The 12,751-nt window shown below is 39.4% G+C and overlaps 1 annotated feature.

Moving 5' to 3' along the window:
* Positions 7,466–7,666: a silencer, noted in NCBI's record as "peak1634 fragment used in MPRA reporter construct". NCBI's record gives its function as "represses an SCP1 promoter by STARR-seq MPRAs in K562 erythroleukemia cells {active_cell/tissue: K562}" and the evidence as "EXISTENCE:reporter gene assay evidence [ECO:0000049][PMID:32103011]".

The following is a 12,751-nucleotide window of genomic DNA, read 5'->3' on the forward strand; positions in this document are numbered from 1 at the left end:
ATGAATAAAGAAAATGTGGTATACATACAAAATGGATACTACTCAGCCTTAAGAAGAAGAAAAACCTGCCATATGTGACAACATTAATGAACCTGGAGGATGTTAAGCTACATGCAATAAGCCAGTTACTGGCTGGATGTGGTGACTCACACCTGTGATACCGGCACTTTGGGAGGCCGAGGCGGGAGGATGGCTTGAGCCCCACGGTTTCAAGACCAGCCTGGAAAACATAGTGAGATCCCTTAAAAACAAAGCCAGCCACAATCAGACAAATACTGCATGTTTCCTCTTGTGCAAGGTATCTAAAATAGTTAAATTCATAGAAACAGAGAGTAGAATGGTGATTGCCAGGGACTGGGAGGGAAAGAAAAATGGAGAGTTGTTCAGCAGGTATATAGTTTAATTTATGCAAGATGAATACGTTTAGAGATCTTCTGTAAAACTTGGTGCCTATAGTTCGCAAGACTGTATTGTGCACTTAAAAATTTGCCAAGAGGGTAGATCTCATGTGAAGTGTTTTTATCACAATAATAAGAAAAAACCCCAAACTTTTCCCTGCCTTTTTTATAAGGTTGTGATAGGTGATGCAGTGATGGTATAATTCCCCTGACATTTTTGAAAACAGTAAGGTACAATAAAACTACTTGGTTTCTATTATTATTGCTATTTTAATACTGTTTAATACTGATGGAAAGCTTATACTTCAGAATCTTCTGGCGATGGCTGTGCCTTTGCCTTTTTAAGGATCACTCGTTGTAATTGACGAAACTATTCAGAAAGACAGTATAATGTATTTATTGCCATTATTTAATCAAACAACTATTTGCTAAGCTTCTATTGTGTATCCAGCAATGTTTTAGACACTGTGGGAAATGAAAACACTGTACTAGATGGACGTCATTCTTGTCTTAAGGCGGCTGAACAGTTTATTTAGAGAAATGAAGCTAGCATATAGAAGACTATTAGCAGGGAATGAAATAGTAATGAATCAGTAATAAGCAGGCTCAGAGCCCAGTTGGAGTTTGGAGAAGAGAAAGATCTTGGAGGTGTGAGTGTTTCACAAAATCTTCCTGGAAAAAGTGGGACCTTGAGGAGTTCAGAAGAGCTGGCTAACCAGAGAGGAGAAAGGTGATTGCAACTGCTATGGCTACCCTATGGTTTTTTAGACTCTCCCGAACTATAAGGGCTTTCTTGATTTAGTTGTCAATTATTAGAAAGTATGTGGCTTAGAAGTAGAATTCCTTCTCTGTCCTGGAAGGGAATTTCTTCCAACTTGTAAGATTTCCTTGGTACAGGCTTATTCATGACCTTGGCCCCTTTAAGAGTACAGGATGTTTCATAGGATCTTGGCAGGCAGCATTATTTCTGACAGGAGTTTATCTCTGATCCAGAAGATGATCGTCAGAAATTGACATTGTTCTACGTTTCCAGAAGCTGTACAGTTACTAAGTAGATTTACCTAGAGATGGACATCAATCAACAACTAAATTAATTGGCATCCTTTTCTCATAGTGTTTCTTTCTTTTTTCCTTCAACAGTTCCTTAACGCAGTGTTTCTCAAAGTGTGGCCTTTGGGCCACCTACACCAAAATCTACTGCATGTGCTGGTTAAAAATGTACAGGTTCCTGAAACCCATTCTAGGCCTCCTGAATCAATCCTTGAAGAGGGCTCAAGAATAAGCAATCGTGCAAACTTTCCAGATGAGGTTTTGCACACTAATGCTTAAGAATCATGTCTTAATGCTTGGTGAGCTTATAAATATTCTAATACCTGGTGTTCTCCTCCCAAACCCCTCAATGAAATAGAATCTCTGAAGTTGGGACTCAGGCATCAGTGTTTTTAAACCTTGAAGGTGATTGCCATGTGCAACTAAGGTTGACGACCACCAGCATAAGGCAGTTCTTTTCAAGATTTAATGTACATATGAACCACCTGGGGAGCTTATAAAAATATGATTCTGATTTAGGAAGTCTGAACTAGGTTTTAAATTTTGTATTTTTAATTACTTCTTAGATGATCCGGACGCTACCAGTCCATGAATCACAATTTGACTAGCAAGGGATTAGAGAAAAATACATTTAATTGCTTAATTGACCCATTCTTGATTGACACAATCTTCTGCATGGCTTATAGATGATTGAACCCAATATCATATTAACTATTTTATGGCATAGAGAAAGCTCCATCCCAAAGGATCATAGTTTCATTGACCCATCGTGAAGAGAAAAATGTTTTTAAAAGTTAAGGTTTAAATGAAAAAGTCTTCCTCAAACTGTCAGTGAGCCAATACAGGCAGGAAGTCAAGCAGGAAGACAGATTGGAGCAATTGGACAGGGTAGTTGAAAAGAAATGCAGCCTGTGTAGAGGGGTGAAAAGCAGCCAGGGTGACAGACCAAGGGGGACATCTTCCAGCAAAGGACAGGTGGAGCCTTCATGGTAGGTGAGCCAGTCAGGAATTAGGTCATGCCTGCTTCCCTATACATCCAAAGTTATGAATGGATGGATGGGTATTGAGAGGAGGATCACTTCAAATACACACACCCACACACACTTTCACACACACACTGTGATAGTGTGATAGTTAATTTTCTGGGTCAACTTGCTTAAACTATGGTGCCCAGTTGTTTGGTCAAACACCAGCCAGAATGTTGCTGTGAAGGTATCCTTAGATCTGGTTAACATCTACATCAGTAGCCATGGAGTAAAGCAAACCGCCCTCCACAATACGATGGGCCTCATCCAATTAGTTACAGGCTTACGAGCAAAAATGGAGATTTCCTGAAAAAAGAAGCAATCCTGCCTCAAGACTGCAACATAGAAACCCTTCCTGAGTTTTCATCCTGCAGATTTTTGACTCAGGACTGCAACTCAGCTCTTCCATAAATTTCAGACTTACCAGCTCCCACAATTGTGTCATCAATTCCTTAAAATAAATCTCTCTCTCTCTTGCTTCTGTCTGTCTCTGTCTCTATCTCTGTCTCTCCCTCCTCTATTGGTTCCATTTCTCTGCACAGCCCTGACTAATACACCCTCCCACAACATGCCCATAGACACACACCTACCTTTCCCTCCTCTTCCTTCTTGTTTAAAATCTTTTGCTAGCTTCCGCTAAAAATAGAGTTTCTTTCAAACTTCTTATTCTGGCCAAGAATATCTGAATCTCTAATCTGAACTCATCTCTTCTCATTGTAAACTGGCCTTCTCTCTGTACCTGAAGTGTGCCAGCTCATTCCTGCTTAAGGCCTTTGCCTTGTGGTTCCTTGTGAGGCTTTTCTCCTAGTTCATGGCAAAAGGGCCCTCTCCTTTCTTTCAGAATTGAGCCTAGATGCCATCTATTTAGTGGTGACTTCTCTGACTGCTTTATTCTATCCCATCCCAAGCAATGCATTCTCTATTAAAACATCATATCATGTTTTGTTGTCTTTATAGACCTTATGATCCGGAATTCCTATTGATTTATTACTTTACTTTTTAATTTGTGTATCTTGCCTCTCACCTCCCATATAGGCCACACGAGGGTAAAGGCCTGGTCTAGCTTGTTCACAGCTGGAAGCCCAGTACCTTGAACAGTGCCTGGTATATGTTGGTTGATCCACCAGTACTCTTGAAAGAGTGAATGGCAGTCTGTACAATCATCTGGAGGAAAGGGCTCAGAGTCTGTTGGGGGTGGTTATTTAAAATGCGAATTCCTGTATTCCAACCTCAGAATCTGTTTTGGTAGTTTTAGATTGAAAAACAAAGTCCTAAAATGTGTGTTCCTTTCTTGATTGAATTTCTTGGATAATAGCTATGGGTTGAGGACTTCTTTTAGAAAGACAATCTTTCACAGAAATAGAATATATTTCACTTGGCTTATGAGTGAAAGTGGATCTTGAGGTAGCTCTCAAACCATGACACCACATCAGATTGCACTTCTGATCTACTGAAGCAATATTTCTGGGTATTAGTTCCAGGAATCACTATTCCTTACAAGATCTCCAGGTGCCGCTGGTAAGTATCCAATTTTGTGCAGCTCCAGAGTGTGAGGGACTCATGATCAAAACTGATGGGACACAAAGCAAGCATTGATGTGACTTCTCCATATGCATATAAATAAAAGCCTGTGAATAACATACCATATCTGATAGATGTATTTTTGGGGCAAGCAACAACAAACAACAAAATCTGATTAACAGTAGATTAAACAATAGGTGCTATTTTTGCCTCTCATTACAAGAATCTTGAGTTAGGTGTTTGCTGGCATCGGTTCAGTAGCTCTGCAGAGCCCTCAAGGATCCAGGTTATTTCTCCCTTTATCTTTCACCATCCTCACACGCTTGCTTTCTTCCTCATGCTTATAACTCCATGTTTGCGTAACACTGACACAGCTTCAGGCATCACATTCACATGCAAGGCAAGATGAAGAGTCAAGGGCTCTTCTCTTTATCTAGAAAGAAAAGTCTCTCTCAGGAGCTCACTCAGAATACTTTTTGTTTTTCCTTGGCCAGCACTTGGCATTTTACACTACAGGCAAGAAAGTCTGGGGACATGAGTAGACAGCTCTCCTTCTCCAGACTCCACAGTGGGAGGTGTCCAGTGAGAAGGGGATTGGAAATGATTTTTAAGGGGCCAAGGAAGAGCATTTACCACATGTACCTGTGGTGGGAACATTGCGTAGCCCAGATAATGTCCAAGAGGGAGACATCTACCCTCTTTTGCTCCATTCAGTCTTTGCTTTTTTAGGATTATTTTTTTCTTCACCAAGAGAATTTTCCCGAAGTGACTGATTCTTACTCCCAAACTCTTCATGTACTTTTGATGGCAACAACAATTTACTATATGCCAGACATTATCTATAAGATGTGTGATATGTGTGTGTGTGTGTGTGTGTGTGTGTGTGTGTATAATCTAAGTGAAACATAACCCATATGTCCCTTAAGCTACTTAAACCTTCCTTAGATAGTCAAATGGCCTCTTCTTTTGATTTAATATATGTAGTTCAACTTGGTCTGTGTCTGGAGAATGAATTCCATTTCTGATAATTGTTAGGGGTAAGGATATTAAGTATACCATGATTAAAGGATATGAGTGTCTACTATTTTGAACCATCAGAGAACAAAGAAAATAACAAAGAGGATAAAGAATAAAAACTTTCAGACCAGGCATGGTGGCTCATTTCTAGAATCCTAGCACTTTGGGAGGCCGAGGTTGGTGGATCATTTGAGGTCAGGAGTTCAAGACCAGCCTGGCCAACATGGTGAAACCCCATCTCTACTAAAAATACAAAAAAAAAAAATTAGCTGGGTAAGGTGGCAGGCACCTGTAGTCCCAGCTACTCGGGAGGCTGAGGAGGAGAATCGCTTGAACCTGGGAGGTGGAGGTTGCAGTGAGCCGAGATTGCACCATGGCACTCCAGCCTGGGTCGCAGAGCAAGACTCTGTCTCAAGAAAAAAAAAAAAAAAGAATACAAAATTTCAAAGAAGCATGGGACCATGAGTGGCTTTGGTCTTCTAGGAGTCTTGGGCATAAGCCATTTATCTCAAATTATCTTCTGCTTCTGAATCAAAACACTCGGTCATAGGCAAATGTCCAAGTGATGAAGACAATGGTATCTGATATGGTTTGGCTGTGTTCTCACCCAAATTTCATGTTGAATTGTAATCCCCACATGTCAGGGGTGGGAGGTGATTGTATCATGAGGACAGATTTCCCTCATCCTGTTCTCATGATAGTGAGTGAGTTCTCATGAGATCTGATGGTTTAAAAGGGTGGCACTTCCCGCTCACTCTCTTTCTCCTGCTCTGCCATGGTAAGATATGCTGACTTCCCCTTCTGCCACGATTGTAAGTTTCCTGAGGCCTCCCAGTCAGGCTTCCTGTTAAGGTTGTGGAACTGTGAATTAATTAAACCTCTTTTCTTAAGAAATTACCCAGTCTTTGGTAGTTCTTTATAGCAGTGTGAAAATGGACTAATACAGTATCCATATATTTATCTCGCTAGTATCAATGGTCCTTTACTGAGATTTTTTTAGCTATTTTCTTCTAGAAAACTCATTTTCTCAGTACCTCAGTCAGTACTCTTAAAGGTGGATGTTTTGGCAACAAGAAAGAGAAACTCCATCAGAAGTACCAAGAAAAAGCTCTGAGCTCATTTTCTGTGTACTTAAGGTCAGAACTACATCAGAGCAAACACACACTGCCTATTTGAATACACAACATAAAAGAAGGGCAATCCATCATTCATTAAGTTCCCCTCAAACACACTTGCACCTGCAGATTTCCTGGAGGTTCTTTTTTTTTTCTCTTCCTTAGGGGGAGGGTCTTGAAGTACCAGGACTCTCAAGCACCTGGAGGCCAACAACTGCAGATGTCTGCCTGAAGGCAAAGATTTGATCAGGTTTATGAAACCAGCATGGTATGCCCTAAAAAAACAATGATCTACAGAGATTATAAAGCTTGAAGTGTTTTTAATCCTGAAGATATGCAAACTATATGCCTACAAAAGATTTGGGAGATTCTGCAACAAAAATATAGAATGATTTTCAAATGCATCCTATCAAGAAGTAGAATTTTGGTTGACATTAAGGGTTTTGTGTGTGATAGCACTTCATTTTATGTTGTGTGAATATAGTAAGAGAATCTATGATAATTGCAAATGTGTCTTCAGTAGAGAAGAAAAGAAGGTTCTTTATGGCCACATGTTCAGAATCTGTATTATTGTTAATAGCCCAAATTTGGACTCTGAATTTTCCCCAGAATTTAAACTATCAGGTTTTTAAAGTAAAAATATATCATTATTTACTTCAATAACATCTCTAAAAATGTCTTGGCTACCTAAAATATATCAAGATTTAGACTTAGTCAGAACTATTAAGTAAATTTCCTTTGATTAATAAATTGTTTTCCATTTAAAACAAAAGAGGAAAGCAAAACTGTTTTCTTAGAATCAGCCAAGATGTTTGTCTTAAAACCTGTTGGCTTTGCCTATCCCTAATTGTTCCTTTCTGATTCACATTAGAAGCCTATACTGTTGCTAACAAACCTGACCATTTTGGCAAATTACTACAGTTGCACTGCTCCAAGTTAGACTCTATGGTATTGTGTAAAAATTGAGCATTTAGTGGCTTAGTCACACCACAAAATTGCAAAAGTTCTTAAGTCTAGGTCAACTTGAACAAGTTTGTTCTTGATTTACATGCCACCTCCAAAAATATGTCAGGGTATTTATTTGCTTTCAGAATAGCTTGCATCTCTCTTTCAGAGGAGAGGTGAGGCAAACATAGGTTGTGATGATGAGTGATTGCCCCCACACGTGCAACTATGAGAGCGCTTTTTTGGATTTGGGTAACACCAATTTTAAATATTTAACCCTTGCGATCACTTACTATTTACCAATACCATCTTCTCAGCTTTGTTCTAAATTATTTTCTTAATTTTTTTTAAGGCCAAGAGCCAGGAGGTCAAACCTTCTGCCCCTCTGACCAGCTGCATGCAGGCAATTAGAGCAATACCACTTTTAAACACAGGTTTGAGCACTACAAGTGTAATTCTCAGACTTATCTGTATCCGAGGGTTATCCTCAAGAATCTCTTGACTCATACTCTAAGATTCTCAGAAATATTTACTGGAAAAAAAATCCAAACTCTGAGCAGCTATCACATAATCTCTTTCATCTGCTGAAGCCGCCATGTTGTTCATAGCGGTAGGGAGACACAGCAGAAAACTGGTCCATCGTTATTTATGTTATTCACTTTCAGGAGAACTAAGGCATCTCACAATGGAACAGTCCAATTCTATTTTTACTGATTTCTGAATGCTGCTTCAGACAGGTTTTTTTTTTTTTTTCTACTGCTGTTGTTAGTGCTTTCAGTTAACTTCAGAGAATGAATACATATCTATCCAACCAGTAAAGCGACATATTCAGAAAGGATCCTATTTTTGTTTAAGGGCTTGCTATATTCTTTCAGATTTATCCATAAGCTTATAATAGGACCTGGAAACACAGGCAAAGATGTGAATTGAGATGATTAAATAATGTTTTCAGGCTGTCTTTCCTCCTCTAGCTGGATTGATCGGGTGCTGTCGTTCTGTGCGTTAGAGTAAGGCTGACATTCGCTCCTGCATTGTGCCTTGTGTTGGGCAGAACTGAGACTCGTGGGTGGAGGGCAGTGGGGATGAGCTGATTGGACCACTTTTAGGCCAAGTAAGAGAGAACACATATACTTGTGTTACAGGAAAGGTGTTCGATCCATACCCCAAGAGAGGGCTCATACTCCAAGAAAGAATTCAGGATGAGTCCACAGTGCAAAGCAAAGGCAAGTTCATTAGGAAAGTAGAGGAATAAAAGAATCGCTACTCCACAGGGCAGCCTGAGGGCTGCTGGTTGCTCATTTTATGGTTATTTCTTTTGCTGAACAAGGGGTGGATTATTAATACCTCCCCTTTTTAGACCATATAGGGTACTTCCGGATCTTGCCGTGGCATTTGTAAACTGTCATGGTACTGGTGGGAGTGTAGCAGTGAGGACAGAGGACACTCTCGTGGCCATGTTGGTTTTGGTAGGCTTTGGCTGGCTTCTTTACTGCAGCCTGTTTTATCAGCAAGGTCTTTATGACCTGTATCTTGTGCTGACCTCCTATCTCATCTATGATTTAGAATGCCTTCACCACCTGGGAATGCAGCCCAGTAGGTCTCAGCCTCATTTTACCCAGCTCCTATTCAAGATGGAGTTGCTCTGGTTCAGACACCTCTGACACTGGTTCACCTGCAGAGAGGATGTTGAGGAATAAGTTTCATGTACAACTCACCCTTATTCAGAGCTGTTTCATATCAATCCTGAAAAAGGAATTTAGCAAAATTAAGAGTTAACTGCCTATAACCAGTTCAAGCCGTAAGTGGATTGAGTGCTCTCTAAGAATAGACAAAAGCTTTTTTTTTTCCTGAACAATTGATTATTGAGCAACCAGAAATAAAATGTTGTCAAGCTAGCCTTGAATAGGAGACTAAAGAAGTTCTAACCAGGATTTCAGAAAAAAATGTCTTTTTATTTTTAAGTGTGAGCAATGGCAAGACCAAGTAACTCTGTTATGGACTCAGCTGCTCCCAAAGTCACAGGGATCTATTGATAACCACCCAATCCCTCATGCCCCAGGCCACCAGAATCTAGTCTCCCCACTTTAGTTTAGCCTCCGTTTTTCTGCCAGAGTTATCTTTCTAAAATTCCAGTCGAACCATGTTTTCTGCTTGAAAGTATTTGATGGGTGTCCATTCACATAGAAGACAAAGTCAATCCCTGCAGCTTGGCATTCGAGGCCTTTCCTCATCTGGATCCTGTCGAAATTTCCAGCCTCTTTTATCCTGATCCAGCTTACTCTCAGCCACATGACGCTTTTCACTATCTCTTGAGCAGACCCACTCTTGTGTGTGGTCCCCTCCATGTGGAATGCCCTCTTTCTACCAAGGTCTACATATCTCACACAACTCCTCCAGAGGGTTTTTCCCTTGTCTTAGCTCTTCCCATTTCTACTCAGAAAGAAAAAAAAAATCAGTGCTCCCATCCTGAACTTGTTGCATTCTGATAGATAATTATGTTCTCACCAGTATGTCCTACCAGGCTGTGAACTGAGTTCCTTGATGGAAAGGATAATGTATTACTCAACTTTATCCCCACAGTTTCTTGTGGAGATGTGGCATATAACACACAGTTAATAATTACTGACTTTTATTGAATTGTAGAAACAGCAGGTTTGGGCAGGATATAATGCAAATGTTGAGTGATAACAGTTTTAAAATATTTATTTATTTTTGGTTCCCATTACTTATTCCGCTAGAATAGCACTGTCCAATAGAAATATAACGTAAGCTACAGATGCAAATCACAGATGTGATTTTAAATTTTCTAGTAGTCAATCTTTACTTTTATTTCATCCCATAATCTCTCCAATCTTCTATTTTGAGGATTTTTTTGGTGTTTTTAACTGTTTATTATATTTTATTAATTATTTCAAATATACTTATTTCATAGTATCATCTGATAGGATTACTTGTTGAAATTCTTAATTGTCTAATTCTGCTGACTTTTGCTTACACTGTTTCAGAATTTGGGGATTGTGAGCTTCTTTTCAGCATACCTTTAGCTGTGGGAATCCTGTGAAGTTTCAGGGAGGATTTGATTTACTTCTACCAATGACCCATTTTATTGTTAATTTCTTAGCTTTCAGTAGTCTCACTTAAAAATAATGCAAATTTAAAAATCGATTGTATGTCAGCATAGACCCATGACTAAACATTTTCTTTACCCTGTATTCAGTGGTTTACAGTAAGTTAGCCTGTTAGGGTGAGGGGCACTGTATTGATAAACTGTAAAAAATTGTGTATTCTCTTTCTTTTTTTTAAAATTTACTTATTTTATTTTATTTATTTATTTATTATTATTATACTTTAAGTTTTAGGGTACATGTGCACAATGTGCAGGTTAGTTACATATATATATATACATGTGCCATGCTGGTGTGCTGTACCCACTAACTCGTCATCTAGCATTAGGTATATCTCCCAATGCTATCCCTCCCCCCTACCCCCACCCCACAACAGTCCCCAGAATGTGATGTTCCCCTTCCTGTGTCCATGTGTTCTCATTGTTCAATTCCCACCTATGAGTGAGAATATGCGGTGTTTGGTTTTTTGTTCTTGCGATAGTTTACTGAGAATGATGATTTCCAATTTCATCCATGTCCCTACAAAGGACATGAACTCATCATTTTTTATGGCTGCATAGTATTCCATGGTGTATATGTGCCACATTTTCTTAATCCAGTCTATCATTGTTGGACATTTGGGTTGGTTCCAAGTCTTTGCTATTGTGAATAATGCTGCAATAAACATACGTGTGCATGTGTCTTTATAGCAGCATGATTTATAGTCCTTTGGGTATATACCCAGTAATGGGTATATACCCAGTAATGGGATGGCTGGGTTAAATGGTATTTCTAGTTCTAGATCCCTGAGGAATCGCCACACTGACTTCCACAATGGTTGAACTAGTTTACAGTCCCACCAACAGTGTAAAAGTGTTCCTATTTCTCCACATCCTCTCCAGCACCTGTTGTTTCCTGACTTTTTAATGATTGCCATTCTAACTGGTGTGAGATGATATCTCATTGCGGTTTTGATTTGCATTTCTCTGATGGCCAGTGATGGTGAGCATTTTTTCATGTGTTTTTTGGCTGCATAAATGTCTTCTTTTGAGAAGTGTCTGTTCATGTCCTTTGCCCAGTTTTTGATGAGGTTGTTTGTTTTTTTCTTGTAAATTTGTTTGAGTTCATTGTAGATTCTGGTTATTAGCCCTTTGTCAGATGAGTAGGTTGCAAAAACTTTCTCCCATTTTGTAGGTTGCCTGTTCACTCTGATGGTAGTTTCTTTCGCTGTGCAGAAGCTCTTTAGTTGAATTAGATCCCATTTGTCAATTTTGGCTTTTGTGGCCATTGCTTTTGGTGTTTTAGACATGAAGTCCTTGCCCATGCCTATGTCCTGAATGGTAATGCCTAGGTTTTCTTCTAGGGTTTTTATGGTTTTAGGTCTAACGTGTAAGTCTTTAATCCATCTTGAATTAATTTTTGTATAAGGTGTAAGGAAGGGATCCAGTTTCAGCTTTCTACATATGGCTAGCCAGTTTTCCCAGCACCATTTATTAAATAGGGAATCCTTTCCCCATTGCTTGTTTTTGTCAGGTTTGTCAAAGATCAGATAGTTGTAGATATGCAGCGTTATTTCTGAGGGCTCTGTTCTGTCCCATTGATCTATATCTCTGTTTTGGTACCAGTACCATGATGTTTTGGTTACTGTAGCCTTGTAGTATAGTTTGAAGTCAGGTAGTGTGATGCTTCCAGCTTTGCTCTTTTGGCTTAGGATTGACTTGGCGATGCAGGCTCTTTTTTGGTTCCATATGAACTTTAAAGTAGTTTTTTCCAATACTGTGAAGAAAGTCATTGGTAGCTTGATGGCGATGGCATTGAATCTGTAAATTACCTTGGGCAGTATGGCCATTTTCACGATATTGATTCTTCCTACCCATGAGCATGGAATGTTCTTCCATTTGTTTGTATCCTCTTTTATTTCCTTGAGCAGTGGTTTGTAGTTCTCCTTGAAGAGGTCCTTCACATCCCTTGTAAGTTGGACTCCTAGGTATTTTATTCTCTTTGAAGCAATTGTGAATGGGAGTTCAGTCATGGTTTGGCTCTCTGTTTGTCTGTTGTTGGTGTATAAGAATGCTTGTGATTTTTGTACATTGATTTTGTATCCTGAGACTTTGCTGAAGTTGCTTATCAGCTTAAGGAGATTTTGGGTTGAGACAGTGGGGTTTTCTAGATATATAATCATGTCGTCTGCAAACAGGGACAATTTGACTTCCTTTTTTCCTAATTGAATACCCTTTATTTCCTTCTCCTGCCTGATTGCCCTGGCCAGAACTTCCAACACTATGTTGAATAGGAGCGGTGAGAGAGGACATCCCTGTCTTGTGCCAGTTTTCAAAGGGAATGCTTCCAGTTTTTGCCCATTCAGTATGATATTGGCTGTGGGTTTGTCATAGATAGCTCTTATTATTTTGAGCTACATCCCATCAATACCTAATTTATTGAGAGTTTCTAGCATGAAGGGTTGTTGAATTTTGTCAAAGGCCTTTTCTGCATCTGTTGAGATAATCATGTGGTTTTTGTCTTTGGTTCTGTTTATATGCTGGATTACATTTATTGATTTGTGTATATTGAACCAG

The sequence above is a fragment of the Homo sapiens genome, chromosome 12 (assembly GCF_000001405.40).
Source record: "Homo sapiens chromosome 12, GRCh38.p14 Primary Assembly".
Lineage (NCBI taxonomy): Eukaryota > Metazoa > Chordata > Mammalia > Primates > Hominidae > Homo > Homo sapiens.